Source organism: Homo sapiens, chromosome 20 (genome assembly GCF_000001405.40).
Source record: "Homo sapiens chromosome 20, GRCh38.p14 Primary Assembly".
NCBI classification, from domain to species: Eukaryota; Metazoa; Chordata; class Mammalia; order Primates; family Hominidae; genus Homo; species Homo sapiens.
The window spans coordinates 22,559,057-22,580,713 of record NC_000020.11 but is presented as its reverse complement, the minus strand read 5'-3'; the positions used below and the strand labels follow the sequence as shown (position 1 = coordinate 22,580,713).

The window sequence follows — 21,657 nt, the reverse complement described above, 5'->3', positions numbered from 1 at the left end:
TTCCAGCAGGTTTATTTTTAAAGCCAGTAGAAGATCACTCTCCACATATCACAATTTTCCACCTTGGCTGTTTGAATGTGCCCTGTTGTTGTGGTCTCTTGGGCCCCACAGCTTGCTTCTCTTGGGGGAAGCCTCAATTTCACATGTTTTTGCTGTACTTCTGATCTTGGGCCTCCCTTCAGGTCAATGAGCCTGGATCAAACTTGCAAATTTGTGGTGCAGCACTTTGCCTGTTCACCACTGTGAACAGTGGTGGAATTGGGACTCTGCCTGGATCTTCCAGCCTCCTCTGTACACAGGGTGCCACCCTTTCCCACCCTTCTCCCTGGAGCAGGTATTGTGCACAACCATGGCAGACCTTTCTAACCCAGAAAGACCTTACTAACCCAGAAATGGCGAGACACTTGGTGTAGGGAAACATTTAGAAGATCTTCTCCTGGAATTGGTTTGAAAGGGTAAGTCAGGGTAACAATCCAAGTCTGTTTTTTAAAAATAGGGTATATTTGGGAGTGAGGAGGAGGTAAGGGGTGTCTGGCCAATGGACCATGACAGTAGTGAAGATGCCACTGTCGGCAAATTTGCTCCCCATCTCCCTCCAAAACTCAAGGCTCTTGCAAATCTTCTTGTAAGTTAGGTGAGGTTGGCAATCCAGGTTTGCAGGGTCCAGGGGTTATGCAGGTATTTTGTGAGCCTTCAAGGACTCTAAAAGTATAACGAAAAATCCCAGAGTGAATTCTTATACACCATGCTGCCTCTCCCCCCAGACGACCTCGCTGGCCTAAAAGGACGGCCAACGGCAGTGAAAACCAAGGCCGACAGCGCAAAGGGGAGTCTGGTGTTGGTTTTGCCCAGGACATCTGCTGGCTGGGCGAGGGCAGGATCAGTGTCGTCGCGGGTCAGGCAGACTTGGGAGCCACTCCCGCGCGCAGTGGCTTGCGGTGGGTAAAAACACTCCGAAAGCCTGGAGGCTAGGACTTTTTGCCTCAGGTTTCTAAGCTCAGGCTCCTTTTTTCAAGATTAGATCTTTGGGCTTCTTGACCATCCTAACCTGGAGTGTTCCAGCTACGCCCCAGACCTGGAGACTGTCTTTGAGTGCTACCTTGCTGGGGTCTCTGCCACCCCATCCCCCACCCCGCCGCCTTCCCCAACAAGCCTGGCCTTCCCACGCGCTTGAGGGGGGTTTGGCATCGCCTCCGCCTCCCACCCGCCACTGCCCCCCTCCCGCCACCAAATCCCTTTCTTAACATGCCACATTGTCCCGAAGAACACAAGGAAGAGAAATTGGGGAGGGGGGGATCCGGAGGCCACAGCCAGCAATCAGGCCGTCTCTCCTCCTAGCAAGGACACACACGTCGTGAGCCCGGCCTGAAATGTGTTTCATTATCACATAAAAGGCTCCCGTGGCGAAGGAGCCGAGAGGCAGGGCCGGGGGCCGAGTGGGGGACAATGGAGGCTGAAAGCGCTGCCCTAACCTGCTATGTTTCGTATGGCACGCCCATTGTGCGAGGGTCGTTTTAAACTACTTAGCGCGCCCCCCTTCACTGATCCCGGCCGATAAGATATAGTTCTGTCCGAATACATAAAAAGGATGTCGGGGAGCAGGCGCTTTCGGAGGCTTTTCTGTGCTTCTTGTGTCTTTCACGCCCCCCTCCCGCTTAAATCCCTCCCCTAGCCCGGGTTCCGAGATAACGAGCTCACAAATCGCCACTGCGCGCTTTCCCCAACTCTACTCATTGTGGGGTGCAGAGACTCTCCCCCCTCCTTTTTTTCCTTTTTTCCCCACGCTTTCCGCGCGCCGGTTTAAGCAACCATGATCTGTGAATAAACAAAGTCTGTAAACAACCGAAAAAAACATTCTAGATCCGAATTCCAGGAGGGTAAACTTTCCATGCCACGTCACACTTCAGCAAATTTGCACAGATATTATATTGCCTCCCCCCTCCTTTATTATTCTTTTTTTTTTTTTTTTGCCAGGATCCCATTGTACTTAACTGAATTTTATAACGCTGATCGATATCTTGGTAAAATATTCATTTTTAAACTAGCGGGCAGTGAAATCTTTGCTTTGTGTGCTAAAGTCAACAGTCGCTTGGTTTGAGCTCAAATAAATGCGGGGATGCCTCGGCTCGGAGCAGTCGGCCTCCTCCCTCCGCGAGCTGGACGCTCCGCAGCCCGCCCGCCAGCCGGCCCGCCGGCCGCCGCAGGTAGGGAGCGCGCCCACCCGGGGACCGCGCCCGGCTCCCCTCCTCAGCGTCCGCACCCCACTCCTGTCCGCTCACCGCCCCTCCCCCAGCCAGTCCTTCTCCCTTCCAGGGCTCGGACGCCCGGGCGGGCTTGGCTGGTGGTAAGCTCAGCCAACTGAGACTCAAGGCGTTGGGTTTTTTTGCAGGGGGTTCGGAAAGTGCATGACTTGGAAGGATGAGGGGTCGTAGAGTTGCAAACTCAGACCGCTTAGGCTCTGAGCTCAGTTAGAGGAGTTTGGTAGGGCCCCGAGGAAGCCACACAGGCCCCTCGAGCGGCTCGGGTCTGGGGATTCGATCTGAGAGCAGCATGTTTCCAGAGAACAGTGGAGGGTGGGGTGTGGGGAACCCCCTTGGCCCCAGAATCTAGTGTGGGGGTCAGCAGAAAATGATGTGCGTGGTGCATGGGAGTTTGAAGAGGCTGAGGCCGGAGCATGGTGACGCCCTCCCCTTGGCGCGCAGGGGTTCGAGTCCAGTCTCAACTCTTTCTCGGACACAGGCAGGCCGAGGAGACGATGGGGATCGTCATCAAGCAGCAGCAGGGGAGGGGCCGCGCCTTTCTAAGAGGCGAGTGAACCTTAGCTCTGGCTGCAGGAAGCGGCTGGTGGCCTTTTGCGCACAGCCGTGCTTGGCGGCAGGCAGGTTGGGGAGCCTCTGGGGTTACGAGCTGGGTCCAGGAGAGAAAGTCAGAAAGCAGACGCAGGGCCATTTATCATCGCATTCTCCCTGCAACCCAGTCGCCGATTTCCCCCCTTCCACGGGCAGGAGCACGCTCGCGCGTGCCGGGCTTGCCCTCGGGAATTCCGGAGGACGCGAGTTTGTAGGACCCAACAGAACCAGCCGCGTCTTTCCGCCGCCTGCGGAAAGGCGTGGACCTCGGAAAAATAGTAGTTCTGCTGCTGCCCCTTGAAACCTCATAAAGTTGTATTTCCCCAGGTGTCTACCAGCGCCCCCCCCCAATCCCTGCCCCCACGCCAGATCCACATTCTCTCTGGGGTCTTTTCTTTAAACGCCTGGGTAGCAGGCACTGTGAGAGGCCCGTGCCTGGCTGGGTTACTTTGGGTCTTTGGTCTGATGCGACAGGGAACTGGCACATGGAAATTGCCCACCACCCCCGACCGGAAAGCTTTTCCCATCTGCGCCGCAGTCACCAGACTTCGAACCCAAGTGGGCAGAAATCTGTTTCGTTGTTCAGCAGGGTCAGTGTTATGTAGTCACCTTCCTGTGTGGGGACCCTTGGTGGCCCCTCCTCTCCTTCCCTGGTGCCTTGGGCTGTGCGCCCGTGTCCACCGCACCCGAAGCCTGCTGGGGAGCGCGCCCGCCGCCCTCCGAGCCCCGGCTCGCCTCGGGTGGCTGGTTATCTTCGCTGAACATGATGGGACGCCTGCAGGACACACGGCAAGGCTAATCGTTTTTAAATAATTAATGCCTCCCGTTCCGCTGGTAATGCGCGGCGTCGAATCCTTCAATTACTTGTCATTAGACGGGTGTCGCCCCACGGCCTTCCCTCGGGCCTTTGATGGCCCCGGGTCCCCTCGCCCAGGCCACTCCGCAACCTAATTCAAAGGTGCCGTGCCTTTGAGAGCCGGGTACGGAGTAGCCATGACCCTTAATTCAGTGCGAGTTTTGAAAGAAAGACCCTCGCTGAAGAGATGTAATCTTCCAAATGGCCAATTTAAACGCCCAATCTTTATCGCCCGCCTTCTCCCCAGCTTCATAAAGAGAAGCCGCTCCTCAATGCTTTGGGGGCCTTTTAATGTGGGAGGGGGGCGGGAAGAAGCAAGAGATAAGGCTCAATATGGCATAGAAGGAGGCGTTAGCCCTAGGAGGTACCTGAAGTTACCTGGGGGCAACGCGTTTTCTTCGGGGCAGTGCATGCTTCTACACATCCGGGGGTCTGGAGGTGGCCCTGGCTTGGAGGGAGGGGTGGCCGAGATGAGATCTGGAATGTGCAGACACCAGTTATGTTTCAAAAGAGCAGCAAGGCCTTTTCTGACTATGCACCTTCACCCCGCAAGAGAGCGCAGGAAAGGAAACATTTTCCTCCCAAACACCATGAACCTGGAGTTGCAAGCAGCCCGTTCTGGCTTATGTCCGCAAAGTCGTAGGCATCAAGTCCTGCCATACAGAATAGACCACCTCCACCCCCACGCACACCCTAGTGCCATTAGCTCCAGTTTGCTGTCCCTGCTGTAGCAAAAGAACAAGATTTCAGACCTGAAATCCTACTGGGTGGGGGACAGCATGGACACCAGCCCTGGAGGCAGCACCATGGCAACCAGGCCAGCCAGGGGTTGTCGAGTAAAATGTAAAACTTTGAAACATACAAACAGAAAAAAATAATCAATCCCCAAAATTTGCGACTTGACTTAATTACACTTCTTGCTCTTTCCTTCCCAGTCAAATGTTCTTTTTACAGTAAATAAAGACTCAAGGGTCTAGGGATCTTATCTTTATCTTTCCCCTTCTGAGCAAAAACAATGCACTGTATCTTCAACCTTCCTTAAATGCGAAGACATCTCCACTCTAGGCTTTATAGTTAACTTTAGATCAGAAATTTACTGTAGCCGCTATCCCCAGCTTTCCTCTGAGAAGAGGTAAAAGGAGATGGGGGATGGAGAGACAAGATAGTGAGAATCTATTTTAACAATGGATGGAAAAAGGATGAAGGCCTGTGACCCACACCCTACCCCCGCCAGGGTCCTGGGCTGTTCTTTAGGTCTTCAGCTCCACACACGTGGCCTTTCTAGAGCAAATCACCCTGATTGGGATTTTTTGAAAAATTCTTTTTTGATGAGAGGCACCGGATGTGGGCAGGATGTTACAGGCACCCCCAGAGACAAGCAAACAAAAATAGCGTTGAATGGATGAATGTCCTCAGCGGAGCTCAGCAGGGTCCCCAGCTCCCAGCAGGCCTCTTCTCCCTTTAACAAAACTCCCAGGGAGTTCCCTACCCTGGAGCACTCCAGGGGGTGCCTCGGAAGCCTAAATCCTGGGCCATCTTCCCCATTCTGTTCACAGCCTTCCTGCCCACTCTCTTATCCCTTTTCTCCTTTCTTCTCTAAAACAATCATGTGTGTCCCCAGTTGCCCCCTCCCGCTATTGTATTTGTTGATGACCTAACACGCTCACACCAAAAGCCACACACAGAAAACCAACAACGTGGGATGGGAGGAGAGACCAATTATGACTGAGGCTAACAAGCAGGGAACACCCAAGTTGAGGCCGGCTGTCTCCTGGGAGACTGATGGAGGCTTATTTTACAAGCTGTAATTCCGTGGCAGTCCCTCTTGCTAGACTGGAGGTGATGCCTATTCTCCCCTCCCCCTCAGTCCCTGCACCCTTGGGGCCTAGTCCAGATCATTTGTATCCTCTGCAGAAGAAGCTGCCACCTTGTGCTAAAGTACCACTCATGAAAAGGTAGAGAGGACAGGGAGTTTTTACAAGCATACCTTCACACCAGTGTGCTTATTTTTTACGTTAGTTGCTGTTTGTCAGAGCTCTGAGCTCACTGCCAACATTCACATGGACTGGTCAGATGTCATTGTCACCACTCCCCCCGCCCCCCGCAGGTTCACATTAAAAAGCATTGACTTACTTGTCCTCAATCTCTCTCTAAAGAAGGGGTGATATTTCACTGTTAGATAACACAACTGATAGCTGGGAGTGCTAAAAGAAGCAACAAATTAAGTTACATTCATTCATGCAAAGCTAGAGGTCTCACTTCCCACCAGGGCAAGTGCCTGGGGTTTAACCCTCTCTTGTTAATCAGAGGCAGCAATATTCCCAGCAGTGTCAGGAGATGATGCTGGCAATACTATACTTTCTTGACTTAAACATCATTAAATTTATTGAGAGAGAATATTTCAGCCTCACAAACATATGTGTAAGGGAAAAATACTGGCGTGTAATGCAGCATTATAACTTTGTGACGAGAATTGTTTACTGTTTTTTAGTTCTACTTGCTTATGTGGTTCAATCTCTGCTTCTTTAAATGGTTGGGTCCTAGTTTATTTTTTAATCAGTAAATCAGCTTTCCCATTGTTTCAATGATTTGAAAATAATAAGACACAGGTCCAAAAATAAGCAGGGATGTTTTTGAACTAGGGTTGGTAATGATCTGAGCAAATAAAAATAGGATTGCATGCATGTGAATTTTGACTTGGTATTTAATGAAAAATATAATCTCAATTTATTATTCCTTCTATTTTTATAAAGCAGAAGTAATTATATATTGAATTTTGTTGGGAAATTGTTGCTTACTGAAAGGAAAGCATATATATAATTCCTAACTTGAATTCATGAATGTTAAAAGTGCTTTATTTGAAAACATAAAACAATCTTTGGAAGTATTTGGAGGAGAGGGCTTGGAAGGCACTAAGGCCTGAGGTAGATAGCTGGATAATCGAAAAGGACAGATGATGATTAGATGACGTTTTCAGTGAAGGAATAGGGTGAGGTTCCAGGGCAGGAGCTGGGTTATAGAGAGCTTCATATGGAAATCAGAAGCATCTTTAGCAAAAAAGTCAAGATATCAACATGTGCACCCTTCAGTATAAAATATAAAGCTCTGATCAAGCTTTTTGCCTGCTTTACCTCCACAAACCCATTTTAAGTTTCAAATAAAGGAGATCAATTTCACTATATATTTTTCATTTGTTCTGTGATTCTGAGCTACATTAATTGGGGCAGTTCACACACAGAAAGAAGTTGTAACTTCAACAAATCTATCCCCTGCTAGTTGAGAAAATCCTCTCTAGAAAAGAGAGACTTTTCCTTCAGAAAAGTTAGTCAATTTATAGGCAGAAACTTTGTTTTACCATTTTAGTGTTTTCAGTGGCCTTCATGCTCCCATCCACGTCCTGCCCTCTCTTATTTTGAATGGAAACTCTAGTCAATCCAATCACAATTGAGTGGGGTTCTCCTAGGTGCCAGGAACCATGCAAGGTATCTTCCTGAACAGGATCTCTTTTAAGCTTCCCCACTTCCTGCTGGTGGAAATCATAATTTACAGGTAATGGTCTTGGGGCTGAGAGAAGTTAGGTAACTTGCTCCAATTTCACAGCGCAGCTTTGAGCTGGAGTCTTTCAACTCATATTCCCTCAACTTATTCTGGCTTCCCAGGACTCTGGGGCACAGACAATTCCTATTTCAATGAATTAGGAGGCCGGCCTTCACCAGAACTCCAGAATCTGGAAAATGAGTAGGGACATCTGAAGTGTTAGGGGGAGGCTGGAAAGAAACTGGAAGATCTCAGAAGAGCCAGGCTTTGGTACCCCCTGGAAGGATGGCACAAACCCCGTGGACTGTCCTAGAAGAGACGAGGATGGGTGATGTCTGGGATCAGGCTGGATTCTCATGCTGTCTTCTGGGGTAACAGTCAGAATTCTTATGTGGCCATGGTCCCTCGAAGTTGGGCAGAAGTTCATTCAGTCCTGGACCACGCTTTTCTCCCCACTGATGCTTCCAGGGCCAGCTAGCCAGTGCTGGAAAGTAGGAGGCAGCAAGCAGGCTCTTACATTGTGATTAGAAGGAGAAAATGCCAGACAAGAGAGAAAATGTCAGGGGCAGAGACTAAGGGCTGACATATAAGTTTAAAACAACCCACATAGCCAAATCATTTCTGAGCTACAGCCTGTCTGCCTTATTCCCTACCGAGGGATTCTGGGAGCAAGGGCTAGGAATGTCCTAAGAGGCTCTTGCCTCTGACCTCCCCCTGACCTGCACCTGGTGGCCTGACAACCCAGGTGACAGCATAGCTGGAATGCATACACCGCCCACAGCTGGTCCCCAGCACGCCCTGGCCCCAGCCCCCGCGGCAAGCCTCCCCCTCCCACCCCTCACATATATGCCAATGCAGATCTCCATAAACACCTGCCTCTGGGGTTTGCCCCTGAATAGGATGCTGGCCTAGGCACATCAACCTGCAGCCCTCAGGGAGGGAGGATGCTGCCCAGGACCCAGTAGGCCCATCGCATACAAGAGCACCACTCCAGCAGAGTGCATCTGAGTGTGCATGTGAACAGTTGCCAAGCTTGTGCCAGGCTCCGGGGACACAGAGTGGAAATGAGCACTAGACCTCCTCAAATCAGGGCTCAGGCTTGGCTTGGAGGTCTCCTTTACTTTTCAATATCCGGGAAGCTAAGTTCCCTGGCCTGTCCATTTTTAGTGGTGTGAGATTCCCTGCAGACTTAGCATCTTCCATTTCGGCATTTCAGAGACAGGCAGACAATTGGATTCTAAGGCCAGCTCCTCACGTGTTGGCATGTGTATGGCCAACTCTTGGAAGTGAACAGAGTTCTAGATAAAATTGTATTCTCACTCCAAACTGGACAACTGAGTGTTAGACTAAGGTTGGGACACAAGAATGACACAATTACCCACAATCAGATTGTGTGCTGAGCCTTGTAAAGATGGCCAGAGGGGAGGAGAATACCAATTTTGGGGGCTGTTTATGGGGGCGAGACAGTGGGGGAAGCAGTAGCCAATCTGTATTTTGTCCTCTTTCCATTTTAATTACCACCTCCCCCAATCAGCAAAGTTTACCAATTAAAGGCCAATCTCTCTTGATTTCTGTGCTTTAAAGGACATTTCGATTCACCCAGGCAGACAATTAAATCCCCCTCTTGCCTCTCCCTTCCCAGAGCTCAGGAACAAATGCATCCCTATCTCTTCCCAGCATCGAGCAGTGGGAAGGAGTTGATCTCAGGTGCTCACCTGCAGTTATCAGAATGCCAGACTCATTTAGGGAGCTCAACTCTGGAAGCTGAGGCGATCCTTTCATTGATTGTGGCAAGCGCGGTTTAGATTTTGCCCTTGCTCAGTAAACAACTAAAAGTAACTGCATGATTTCTCCCTTGCATTCCACAATCTCTCTCCTCCTTCCCTGCCTCCTCTCTCTCACACACCACATGACACACACACACACACACACACACACACACACACACACCCCTTCCCTACCTCAGGCTCAGGCCTCTGGGCTCTTGGTCATCATGAAAGAACAGGCAGATCACTATCCCTGTATGACACCCTTAGCTAAGCGCCTCCCCACTCCCAGCTGCTGGACGTTTTGCAGGGGTTGGGGTGGGTTCTGTGACTTCTTCCTAGGACTCATGACTCTCCCAAGGTGCACACCCTCCCAAGTTCCCAAGCCCCCAACCATACCACATCTGGAAGTCCCCACCTGTCTAGAATGCTTTCCAGAGACTTTCCCGACCATTCCTCCCTTGCCTCCCTTCCCCCACCCCAGCCCTTCTCCCTGTTTCCTGCTGCAGCTCAGACCCAGTTCAATGAAGTTGAGGGTGGAGGACAGATTCTGTCTGAGGTGCAGCAGCTCTGCTTCTGGCTGAGGTAGCCATGTCTCAATACAGATCTGTTTTGGGGATGAAAGCAAATTAAAATGGCAAACTCACTCAGTGACGATCAAACTTCTAAGATCCTTAACAAGATCTCCATTTACTCCTCAATTACTAATAGAAAAAGGGAAAGATGTACTCTATTGTCCAACATTTGCATTCTCTGAATAGACTGTGTGTTACAATTAGCCCCCTTCATTAGCTCCATCTCTAAGAATGGGTTTGCTGTGAAGCAATTGTGAGGAGCGCGCGTACTCTGCCATCTATTTGTGTAAAATAAAGTAGGCATAATGGCCAGTCTTCCAAAACAATAGAAAACCTTAGTACAAATCCTAACAATTATAATTTAAAATTTAATAATTCTTTTTTTAAAAGCCAAATGGTGAAGAACAGTTTTCTTGCAGACATTGGACAGTCGGCCTGCCACGAGTGTGTTTTTTAAAAAAATTAAGCGACTTTCTCTTTCAAAGTCTGTTGTCTTTCAAATGGAATTTTTTCTTGTTTGCCTAAATGCCTTTCACGTGATAAAAGATATTTTTCAAATTAGATCACCTCAATTTAAAATACAGTTACCTATTATCAGCCAGCCTGGAGCATAAAGCATTTTAAGAAGTCTCACAGATCTATTTTATTTTTTAGGATTTAGAATTTTCACGGATTCTTTTCATTTTTAAGGATTTTTAAAATAAAACAAACATTGTAGTTTGTAAATTCTTAAGATTTGAGATAGAAATATTGCTCACAGTATTGAATATTCCACATTAGTCAATAGCAAGCAGATAAATATATATTTCTAAATGAAGGGTAGCTCTGGAAATTAGACAGCCATTTTATTACATAAGGTATTCTTGGACAAACCAAAAAAGTGTGTCCTCACTTTTTCCAGCACAGTTTCGTAAATGGAGTATAAAATGTATTTGGAGTTTTAATAAATTTATTAGGTGCCAAACATTTCTTTGCACAATGTCTGTCTAGTTTGTGTCCTGAGGGCAAAACAATGTGTGATATGCTTGCATTACAGTTTTGTGGTAGCTGCTCACAGGCAGGTCACACCATCCTACTTTCATTGTCATTGGCAGTGCTATTTTGTTGAATATCAGTTTTGATATGACTAACGCTTATTTCTCAATTTCACCTTGCATTTTCTTCTAATTTTTATGTTTGATAAAATAGCTCAATAGTGGTAATTAAACCTCTCCTTATAAAGGTATAGCTATATATTTCTCAATGCTTGTCTTTCTAGCAATGAAATCCACATTAAAAACATTTCTGGGAGAAGATAATTTCTTTGTTATTTTTGGATTGTTTAAAACTATTAATACAATATAGAAAAATAATGCCGGGTAAAAATAGGATTGATTCTATATCAAATAGGAATTTGTTTCCTTTACTGCCTTCCTTTTTGCAATGTCTGTGCAGGTCTTCCCACACCTTGGCTAGTTCAGTAGATATATTCAGTTTAGATATATTTTAGTTCGTCACCTCTGAAGCTCAGACAAATTTCCAGGCCAAGTTTTGAAAAATAATTTAGGAGAAACTTGCAGATATTTTGAGGACGCGGCGTGTAACCTCCCATGGCACCGAGACAAGCGACATTCTGTTTGGTGCAAGTGGCGAAAAACACGACCTAACCGTGTTTACATGTGTATTCAGCCATGAAATTGAGTATTATCAACGTTGAAAAAATGCAAATCAAATTAAAACAAGAGAAAATTGTCTTTGGAATTACAGCGGCCTGGAGCCCCCAAGTGTTTGCTTAAATTGAATCATTTAGAAAAGAAAAAACATCTAAACTGCCCCTTCACTATTCTCTTCCGCCCCCACCCCAGGCACGAACCTTGTCCTTTAATTCTACCATGAAATGTATCAAAGTTGAGGCACAAATAACTCTACCTAGGACAAATCACGTTGCAATATATATATATGTGCATATAAAAATTAAATGCCTCCCTCTATCTAGGTGTTCACAGAGTCGGACCTGCTTCCGAAATAAAGCAGCACTCCCTTTCCTCATTCCTGGGTGAGGCCCTAGCCGCTGGCTGGCGGGCTGGCTCGGGCTCCCCGCGAGTGGCCCGGGGACCTGCAGAGCAGCCTTCCTTGGGCTCAGGCTGCGAGAGCCGGAGCGGGTGCTCGGGCTCCGGGAAGGCGGCGTGTGCCCGGGTACCCGGGGCCAGGCAGCCGGGGCCGATCGGGCGCGCCGAGGTCGTCAGAGCAGCCGGCCGAGCCCCCAGTCCCCGCGGGTCCGTGGGGCTGTCCCGGTTTGGCGAGCTCCGGCTGCCGAGATGCGCCAAACGCGGAACCCGGGTTGGCCCTCCGGGGGGTTCTTCTCGTCCCCTCCCAACGCTCACTTCGCTGACATAGGACTTCCAAGGGTCTTAGTGGAGAAGGCCACGAAAGGAAAATGCCTGCTAAATGTCACTGGGGGTCGGGGGAGAGATCGAAAAGAGCACGAGGCAGAGGGACGGTCATTCTTGCTTTTCCCCCACAAATTCTAGAAAGCGCAGGGAACCGACCCTAGGCAGCCAGTTCACACCGGACCCGACCTATCCCACCCCAGTCGCCATGGGCTCTGTCAGCTGTATTCCTCTCCCGCCCTCCCCATCGCTCTCCCGTCTCCGGTAACACTGGCGAGTCCAGGGTTTCTCCTGCAGGTGCCAAGGTCGGCCCCGTCCGGATGAGCCCGCTGGGCACCGCGCAGAGGAGGGCCGGGCGAACAGGCAGACGGCCTTGGGTCAAGACTGGGAGCGCGACCCCGCTGCGGTGGGAGCGGGACCCAGGCAGCCACGCCCACCAGTCTTAATGGGGGACAACAGAGGGGGCTAGAATGGGGGGCGGGATGCTGGTGACACCAGTGGTGGCTAGGATGTGCTGGCACGGCCCTGGAGACACTTTTATCTCATTTAGTGACCTCAGGATTTTCGTTTCGCTCCCCCAGCCTGCACTTTCTCCTCTTCGAACACTCGTCCACCCTGCTCCAGCCCGAGCTGCACCTTCTCCGACCCGGTATCTCAAAAGGAGCTCGAACTCCTTTTCCTCTGGGGAGGAGAAAGAATGGGTGGCCTCCGCGTCACTCTGTTTCCCTTCCTCCTCCTCAGTCCTGATAGAATCGAAGGGCTGCCCTTGTTCCAGAAACATAATAACTGCATTCCAGCTGACTCCGATGGGGGCGGGGGGCGGAGTAGTGGAAGCCCATTTTTATTTGAAACCTGTCCCTATATTTTCCTTCCCAGGAATCCCTGGATAAAGACCAGCTCAACCATCGCTGAGAAAACAGACCTAGGCTTCCCAGGGCGGTTAACCCGCCGGCCTCTGGGCAGAGACTGTAAGTTGGGGTCGTGTTTGGGAGACTCGGGACCCTATTTCCAAGGAGAACTGTGGGGGACATGTTTATGTTTGTTGTTTTCAAAATCAAGCAAAGGAAACAACAGCCAATTAAAATGAAATATTTTTATTCCCCTCGCACGTCGTCAGTGATTTGCCCCCAGGGATTCACAATTTTCCCAAGCCTGTTAACGGGTGACAATGAGTGAGTGCCTCCTGTAATTTAATTTTCCTGTCACACTAAATAGAGCTACATTGTAAACCTTAGATCTACTCTTACTGATAGGATCGCCTTGTTTTGCCATTTGCACCATAAAGACCCCCAAAAGGGACACTGTATTGTGACCTCTACTCTTGAATTATTCAAGAACTTAATGACATTTTCCATTTTAAAAAGGGAACTAATTGCCATTGATGCAAAGCATGTGACCTTCTGCAGGTACCCAGTATGAGAATGTAACCATCTGTATGTGCATAGAAGGCTGAAGAAAGCGGGTGCAAACAGGAAAAACACATGCAATCCTAACGAGCTCAAAATGGACACTGGAATCAAGCGTAGGGTTTAATTTCACCCCAAACCGTGACACATAGCTCCACAAAATTCCCTTCACCAGACCTAAAGTCTGCATAAAACCTCGCATCAATTCAGGCTCGTTTTGGGGGACATGACATGACTTTTTAGCTAGGACTGGAACATTAAAAATTTTGAAAGCCAGTATGCCTTTATAAATGTAAAATCACTTTGATGTCAAGCAAAATATCTAATAATTTGCCTCCCTTCTTTTGTGGCTCTTTAAAATTATTTATTTCCTCAAAAAGGAAAAGAAAACCCCATAAATTGGGATGGAACCGCATCTCAGTATTTGCTGTTTGAATCAGTCTTGAGTTTCTAGGAAAGCCGTTATTGAAATTCTTCACTAACTAGAATTATCTCGCTTCAAATTACTTGGAAATGGATGCTTATCTTTTTTTTTTTTTTCAAAGAAAAGACAAAACAAAATAAAACAACAACAAAAAACTCCCAGTGTGTTTCCTACTCTTCTTTGTCTTGGAGGAAAGCAAAGGGAGAGAAATGGACTTCACCAGTGGTCTTTGGCTTCATCAATTCACAGGTCAGTGTGCAGAGATTCTGGGATGCTGTTCCTGGTTTATCTGAGTCAATCCACAGCAGGTATTAACCACTTTTAAGGTGCAAGTGGCATCAGGATGTTGGTAGCAAAACACTTTCTTGTGCTGGGCTGCAGATGCTTCTTTTGAACTTTGAGTGATGCTTGGGACAAGGAATTGTCATTTCTTCAGGGAACAGACAGCTCCTTTTAGAAGGAAGCTCTCATAAACTACCCCCTCCCCCCGGCTTCATTGAGAACTAAGTATCCTTTCTGTGTTTGACTGTGAATCCACATCTCTGTCTTGTAGAATTTCTGGAAAAGAAAAATAAAGTACATTTGAACAGCTAACTCGACTTTTATAAACACCATGTTATATCAACATGTTTGACACAACTGGTGCTGATGCAGCCGGAAGTTGTACAAAACAGAATGCCTGACACTCCCTCTGTTGAAGTGTATCAAATGCTATTTTAAAGGGAATTGCCATAATACTGTTATTACCCCAGTTATGTAACAGAACAACTGTTTTCATATTTCTCTAAAACGAACCTGTTTCCCTCCCTGGTATCATGTGCTTTTTGAGTTCTGTGACATGGTAGGAAAAACGCAGAAAAGATACATAGTTCTCATTGTTAAATAATGAACACATATTTAATAAATATACTTGAGACATTTTCAAGTCAAGAAAAACAGGGATATGTATGAGAGGAGTGGCCAGCCACCTTCTTGCATGTCCCCTGTGATAAAAGCAATGCTTTATGAGTCAAATGATAATTTAGGTTTAGAGATTTTTCACTTAGTTTTCTGCATTTAAAACATTTTATAACAATTTGAGATAGACTGTAAGACAGAATAAATGATAAACGTCTCTCATAGCATTCTGTAGTGTTATAATCCAGGAATTTTTTCACAGTGACAGTATACTTTCAAAATGAAATTTTAATTCACTGTTCAAGTTGTCATCAAGTCATGTTTCTTTTCATTTTAAAAAACAACTATCTTGATCAGGGAGCACTTGAAGGACACGTTAAGTACTGTGGAGATCTCGGTGTCTTTAGGGTAGAGCAAAGTCCTCTTCTGGCCCCATTCTGAGATCTCATCCTCTTCTGAATGGATATCTGTGTTGGTAATCTGGAACACCATGGGGAGGGATTTTATTGTCACTGAGTTCCAGTGAATGCTTCTAGAAGACTTGCAGGAGATTCTGATTGAGTACTATGTTTCACCCAATTCCTGTTCCCCCTCTTTACCTCCAATATAAAAACAACTTTGGAAAGCATTCCCATTTGGCCTTTGTAAAAGGGTAAATGAAATACCTATCTCATTTTAGTTCACCTGTAAAATGGGTTTCTCATTTCTCGATCAAGCCTGGTGTGAAGGGACGCATTGGACTTTAAGTTGTTTTATACCCTTCATCTATTTTTTTTAAAGATTTGAACTGTTGATGTACAGTTTTTAAAATGCTAGAGCTAGCAAAAGTTGACAACTTTCCATCTGATTGTATTTATTGAAACATGTGCATCTACATATATTTACTGGACTTCTTACTGTACATTTTTCTTCCTCTAGGAAATGGCATCAAGATGGTTCAACTAAGACATGATCACTAAAAACATTATAATAATACCTTTTTGAAAAACTCAGTTTCTCCTGTTTACTAAATATTTATTTCATCAACATGGGCTGCGTTCCACTGTGTCAGGATTCTGCATGTGGGTGGAGCACTGTTCCAGCCTGAGAAGATGGTTCTGAGGCCACTTAGCAAGACATTTTCCAGCATGAGCAGGTTTCTCTGTGGAAATAGTGACACCTGTTCTGGTGTGTTGTCTTTCCTCAGGGAACTTAAGGGGTACAAAGCTCCTGAAAATGTTCTTTATGCTGGTTGAAGCTCTTATGTCGCTGTACTGATTCCCTACGATGCAGATTTGAATCACAGAGTAATTAAAATATGGATCAAATAAGGCTGGGGCTCACCAAGGCTGAAAGCTGTAGCCATTCAAGGCATCATTTCTGTCATGAAAATATAGGACCTTTTCAAAACATGCCTTCAGGAAGGTGTTCTCTTTTCAAACAAAAGTCTAATGACTGCATAACTCTTCTTGACCACATCTTACACTTTCTCTAGACTTGCTTATTTACAGCTACTGGAACAAAAAGATGAAATGAATAAAGCACACTGATTGTCCTAAGAGTCTTCTGTGACTAAAAGCACATGAGCTTCTCCCCAGGCTGAGCTTTGACCCTCCCAAGCATTTCCCCAAAGGCCATGACACTGCATCAGATTGCTCCTGGACACTTTCCTCAGAGTTTTCAACAAATATAAACTGAGGAGTGGAGCACAGCACCAGATTTGCTAATCAAGAGGCAATGGTCCCAGTCCAAATGGGTGCTGTGTGTGAATACAGAGCCCAGGAGAAGGGAAGGAGGTCTGTGAACATCAGGAATTGCAAAATCTTGCTGAACCAATAGACCAACAGCCATTAACATTTGTCAATGCAAAGATCCTAAAATATACAAGTGTGGAGTTGTCCTGCCCTAAGAGCTGAAGCTGTGACAATCACGCTGCCATGGTAGATATTTAAGCTCCCCTGAGGTTACTGAATCTAACAATGAATAAACAATGAAGAGTAGCTAATTTTTGGAAATCTCTTTCTATGACCGGAAAATATTCACAAACTCAGAGTGATTGTTTGGGGTGAAAGATGGTCCCATGCCTTGTGGGCCTCTCTTTGCTATCTATACAACGTTGGAAATGAACCCCTCCCTTACAGGAAAGTGAACAGCAACCAAGGTGAGCCCACCCTGGGAGGGCAGAGTGGGTGTACTTTCCTCGAAGAGCCCTGAACACAACAGGGCACACAAACAGCCACAGCACCCTCAACAATGCCCCACCATCTGCCCACCAGGGCACACAGATTCACGCAGATTCAGTGACACATTCCAAAAAAAGGGAATTAAGGAGGACCCATGGCATGGCTAATGGGGAGAGAGCTTTACTACTTTTAGCACCATTGCTAATTATTGGAGCAAAGAAAGGCATACAAGGAATGGAACCCAACCTGTTTAAAGTAATAAATGTCAACCCTAAAGTGCATGGAACCATCTCTCCTTCCCTTTTGAGGACTGTGTGCTTCACAAGCTGGGCGTTTGCTGCATGGGGTTTTCTAATGTAATGTGAATTTTCAATGTGCTTTGTCTCTGTAGAGTGGCTTTAAAAAGCCCTTGAAGTCCTCAGCTTTAAATCCATGCTAATAGGGGAAGTCTTTTTTTTTTTTTTTTGGAGGTGAGGAGCTTTGGTTGGGAGAAACATTGACCCAGACTGCACTCTGGGTAAACTAGGGCAAAAGACCTGATATCGTCTGCAGGGTACTTATTAACCACTGTTCATTTGCAGGATCAATATTTCCAGCAAAGGAGTCCACACTCAAGATACACTGCTACGTCTCACTTTTTCCTTGACACAACAATTTATTTTATAAATGCATCTGCTGGAGAAGAAAAGGCAGTACCAAGGATTGTGTCTTTTATCTCCAGGATATGCAAAGCGCATTTATTTTCAGCTTTTATCTCTGGAATTGTATGTTGATCCCATACATATAGATTGATTTTGTTCAGGTAGATAATGAAAAGTCAAGTGGAAAATTACACAATGGCATTCACGATCCTAGTCTTATATCAGTATATAAATTGGTTTATTATTTCATTCTATTAAAGAGGCTTTTTTTTGGTACCAGGAAAACTTCAAAATGCATTGTGTTGTCAGCCTCACTGAATTTTCTTTTGGAGGAGGAGGTAGGGAGGGGAAGCCAAAGCCCCGATTTCTCCTGCTCCTTTTGCTAATTGTATTGGCTAAATGAGCTTTCACAGAGGGGGGTCCTGGCTGCTTTTTGCTCTCCCCCAGACCACTTGTAGGTTGCACACAGGGCTTCTATAACTCTTTCTGAGTCAGGACAAAGATATCCGCCGTGCACACCCTGTGACATAGGTGGATATTTATTTCATCCCGGGCAATTCTAAATTTTGTCATGATGACTGAAAGAGGCAATCCCCTCCTGAGCATTAAGAGGCCAGGGGTGAGAGGGTGGCAGCATAGAAAAGCCACCACCCAGAGACAGCTTGGAGCCATGATCCTGGAGGAAATGTTATTAATAAACATCTTTTGGACATTTGGTAGCCCGTGGAGCTTGCTCCAGCTTAAAGCAATTAATTCAGGACACTGACATAAACTCTCCAGATCTTTGACAGCTTGGAGCCGAAATAAAAATGCTAGTTCTCCGGGGAAGAGAAGAGGATGGCTAGCCCTTTTCTGGACTGTTTGCTTATAGGCCCAGAGAGCAACCTTCCTTGCAGAATGAAATGCAAGGGCACAAACAATGTACCAGGGAGAGAATAGAAGATGGGAATGAACAGTTTGAACTATTTGCTCAGCAGAAGGGCACCACAATGCTGGGGTAGTGGTTTTCCCATGCGTCCACTGTCCCTTCTTTGGGATCTTTTGTTGTCCCCTGTCTCCTTTGGCCAGATAAAAGCACAGCTGCAGCATTGCAGATAACAAGTAGGCCGTACTTATCCCCCTAAATCTCGGGGTGCCTTTACTGTAACAAGTTATGCTCGGCTCTCTTTTATTTTACAAGAGGATGGTGAGGGAGAGAATGGAAGAACAGAGGGGGCGGACGTATAAGACATTTGACACTGCCTATGTCTGATTTCTCTTTCTTTCTTTCTTTCTTTCTTTCTTTCTTTCTTTCTTTCTTTCCTTTCTTTCTTTCTTGCAAGCTGTGATCGGATGCAATCTTTGTGGGACATTTAAATGGAAGGGTTCATTGATGTGTATTGCTTGCCAAGCCAAAATGTTGCCTTTGGGGAAAAGGGAGAGAGGTGTTCATGGAGTGCAGGGAAAGGAGGTTTTGGGGCAGAGATTTTGACTTAAAATAACCAGACTTCTTCTGGCTGCTGAAAAGAGGCAAAAGTTTTAAATTGTCAAGTTTAAAACTATGTTCAGTTATGATTTGCCACTTCTGAATATTATTTTGGATTTCCCCTTTCATGCTTATTTTGTTCAGAATCCTAATGAATAGAGGTTGCTGGACTCAGGGTAAAAGCAGGATGAACTGGAGATGGGACATACAAGGTACTTTTGGAATTGCCATAGATTACACCTATAATCAGAGTAAATGTCATCAACAAATAATCAAAATATTTTTTACATTTGCTCTTCTAAAATCAGAGCCTATTTTAAATATAAAAGAAAGTAGATGTGATAATAATATAAACTACAGTCACATTAAGTTGATATTAAATTCAAAATCTAACATAGATTTGCACTGTTGGGTGTGTGTTCCGAATCAGTGGGTTTTCCCACTGATGTTGATTTCGGGAGCCAGGCTTCAATGTTTAATTCTATTGTAATGTGGTTATTTAGCCTGAATGGTTTTATAAGGTGGAAAGGCAAAAAATTTAATTCCGAAGAAAACTAGTGTTTTACTATGACTGTGGTAAACATTTCCAAAGCCCACCTGTGGGAAATACAAAGTTTTAATGCTGTGTGTTTTTTTGTTTTTGTATTTTGTCTCATCGACAAAACTGGCAGAAAAAAACGCTTTCGTATATTTTTCCTGCTGGGTGGTCAGAAGGAAAGGCCGTGAAGCTAAAGGTCTCCCACTGAGACGCTGTTCTGCAAGGAGCCGACCTCACGTGCCGCCGCCGCCAGAGAAGAGAGCACCTGTTCATCTCGGCTCACTGTGAGGCTGAGCTCAGCGCTGGCAGGCGAGGGGCCGCAAGCATCCCCCACAGCCACCGAGAGGGCATCCCTGCAGGGAAATCATATCCGACATGCCTGTGCCCACAGCAGACTTAAGACTGCCTCTAAAATGTCCATGAAGCCATTGTCCAGTAGAGCTGTTAGTTTTAACACCAGTGAGTATTACCTTTGGTTAAAAGGATGCATGTGTATAGGTGTATGTGTGTGCGTGTGTGTTTGTGTTTTTGGACTTGTGTGGAGAATGAAGAAAGGGTTCCATTTAGGCATTTGCAAATATTCGATGGCATCATGAAAAGACAAAAAAATCCTATAAAATATATCATATTTTGCTATGATTTTGTGTGTACATGTAATAAAATTATTAAGTATAAATTGTTCTGTATTTCTTTGCAAGCATAAATTCTAAAATTTTGTATTTAGTACAGAATAATTCGTATCACATAATAAGGGAAAAATACATTTTTTTTTCCTGATTAAGTGCTTAGACTAAATGTATCTGGTTTTTTGGGGAACTGAGGCCAAGATGGAAATTGTAGTCTGCCTGGGTGAACGTAATTCCTTTCTCTAATTCTTGACATAGAGAAAAACTTGCCCAGGGAAATTTTTCCATTATGGCATTTTAGCATTAATCTGAAAATCATGGGGAATCACTGTGGATAACTCAGGGGAATAAGTGGAACTCTTCTTCCATTAAAAGAATTTCCTGACTTTGAGGCTATGCATTTCCACAACATGGGAAATGGGTTTTTATTTCCAATTTCTGCAAAGAGTACACATGCAACTGGTATCCATACAAAGCCCCACGTGTTGGGAGGCCACTGAGGGAGGAGCAGAGCTCCAGCGAGGGCAAATGCACAAATAACAAATCAAGTTTAAAGACCGTGGTCAAATGCAAGGAGTAAATGATACTGATCTTATATGTTAGGGGCTTGGACATCACATCAGCTGCCATGGAGTTTGATTAATGAGGCATTAAGGAGATGGAGTGACACTTACAGCTAGTTACTTATGGTGCTAATTTCAAAACACTTTGCAATAGACAAAGAGACTCGGCTCATAATGCAAAGTAATTTGTGGTGTGTTCCTGGTGAATGCATTTAGCGAAGCAAATATAGTTATGCGGAATTTAAATTAAGGTTGACACTAATGTAAACAGAGCCCAAGAACCACTGTCCAATAATTTGATGAGGACACAGGTTTTAATCAAGCCTCTTCCACTAAAATAGCAATTTAAATCCCTAACGTTTAAACTGGATAAAACGCTTAAGCTGTAAAGGTTGGGGGGAAAAATAGAAATTTACTTGAAAAGGAAAATGAAACAGAGTATCTCTGGGGGAAACCTTGACTATGTTTTGACCCAACTGGGATATACATGTCGATTTAAATGCCAGGTCGATTTCAAGGCCAGATTCCAGGTATTTGAAGGCATTTGCTATGTATCTTTTCTGTTGTTGTAAAGTTATGGTTGGACACATTCTGGTTGTATTGATCTCAGAGTAAAAATGCTCCTAGTAATAAGAAAGTGGGGATTCTGATTCCGAGGACCCAGAATCATTTATGTATTAAAGGAGGAAATCTACCTGCTTCCCCCTGCAACCAATTTCTATTTGAACTAAAAAAATTCAAAATTGGGGGTATATGAGGAAGGAGTATGGGCCTGGTTAGAGACCCTGGCCAGCCATCGGAGAGGTCAGCTTTTCTAGAGGGTACCACATCCGCACATGGCTTTGTTCGGGTTTGCCTGTTTATTTCCCTTACTCAGATTCAATGGGGAGGAGGTCATCCCAGTCATTAACATTAATTAAAATGCCAGTAGCCTAGGTTCCAGGGCCTGGGAGGCCTTGTATATGAGAAACAAAACCAAACAA

General features: G+C 45.7%; 1 long non-coding RNA gene across 1 annotated transcript, besides 8 other annotated features; it reads left to right on the top strand.

Annotated features, from left to right (window-relative positions):
* Positions 358–1,313: an enhancer, noted in NCBI's record as "OCT4-NANOG-H3K4me1 hESC enhancer chr20:22560039-22560994 (GRCh37/hg19 assembly coordinates)". NCBI's record gives its function as "activates a minimal SCP1, AML or CMV promoter by ChIP-STARR-seq in naive H9 embryonic stem cells {active_cell/tissue: H9 hESC(naive)}" and the evidence as "EXISTENCE:reporter gene assay evidence [ECO:0000049][PMID:30033119]".
* Positions 1,314–2,269: an enhancer, noted in NCBI's record as "OCT4-NANOG-H3K4me1 hESC enhancer chr20:22559083-22560038 (GRCh37/hg19 assembly coordinates)". NCBI's record gives its function as "activates a minimal SCP1, AML or CMV promoter by ChIP-STARR-seq in naive H9 embryonic stem cells {active_cell/tissue: H9 hESC(naive)}" and the evidence as "EXISTENCE:reporter gene assay evidence [ECO:0000049][PMID:30033119]".
* LINC00261 (long intergenic non-protein coding RNA 261) lies at positions 2,072–20,161 on the top strand. Its single transcript, NR_001558.3, has 4 exons — positions 2,072–2,204; positions 12,829–12,920; positions 13,909–14,031; positions 15,598–20,161. It is a non-coding gene; the product is annotated as a long intergenic non-protein coding RNA 261 (long non-coding RNA).
* Positions 2,270–3,225: an enhancer, noted in NCBI's record as "H3K4me1 hESC enhancer chr20:22558127-22559082 (GRCh37/hg19 assembly coordinates)". NCBI's record gives its function as "activates a minimal SCP1, AML or CMV promoter by ChIP-STARR-seq in primed H9 embryonic stem cells {active_cell/tissue: H9 hESC(primed)}" and the evidence as "EXISTENCE:reporter gene assay evidence [ECO:0000049][PMID:30033119]".
* Positions 8,716–9,315: an enhancer, noted in NCBI's record as "OCT4-NANOG hESC enhancer chr20:22552037-22552636 (GRCh37/hg19 assembly coordinates)". NCBI's record gives its function as "activates a minimal SCP1, AML or CMV promoter by ChIP-STARR-seq in naive H9 embryonic stem cells {active_cell/tissue: H9 hESC(naive)}" and the evidence as "EXISTENCE:reporter gene assay evidence [ECO:0000049][PMID:30033119]".
* Positions 11,226–12,043: an enhancer, noted in NCBI's record as "H3K4me1 hESC enhancer chr20:22549309-22550126 (GRCh37/hg19 assembly coordinates)". NCBI's record gives its function as "activates a minimal SCP1, AML or CMV promoter by ChIP-STARR-seq in naive H9 embryonic stem cells {active_cell/tissue: H9 hESC(naive)}" and the evidence as "EXISTENCE:reporter gene assay evidence [ECO:0000049][PMID:30033119]".
* Positions 12,044–12,862: an enhancer, noted in NCBI's record as "H3K4me1 hESC enhancer chr20:22548490-22549308 (GRCh37/hg19 assembly coordinates)". NCBI's record gives its function as "activates a minimal SCP1, AML or CMV promoter by ChIP-STARR-seq in naive H9 embryonic stem cells {active_cell/tissue: H9 hESC(naive)}" and the evidence as "EXISTENCE:reporter gene assay evidence [ECO:0000049][PMID:30033119]".
* Positions 16,426–16,951: an enhancer, noted in NCBI's record as "OCT4-NANOG-H3K4me1 hESC enhancer chr20:22544401-22544926 (GRCh37/hg19 assembly coordinates)". NCBI's record gives its function as "activates a minimal SCP1, AML or CMV promoter by ChIP-STARR-seq in naive and primed H9 embryonic stem cells {active_cell/tissue: H9 hESC(naive and primed)}" and the evidence as "EXISTENCE:reporter gene assay evidence [ECO:0000049][PMID:30033119]".
* Positions 16,952–17,479: an enhancer, noted in NCBI's record as "OCT4-NANOG-H3K4me1 hESC enhancer chr20:22543873-22544400 (GRCh37/hg19 assembly coordinates)". NCBI's record gives its function as "activates a minimal SCP1, AML or CMV promoter by ChIP-STARR-seq in primed H9 embryonic stem cells {active_cell/tissue: H9 hESC(primed)}" and the evidence as "EXISTENCE:reporter gene assay evidence [ECO:0000049][PMID:30033119]".
* Positions 20,162–21,657: the final 1,496 nt, after the last annotated feature.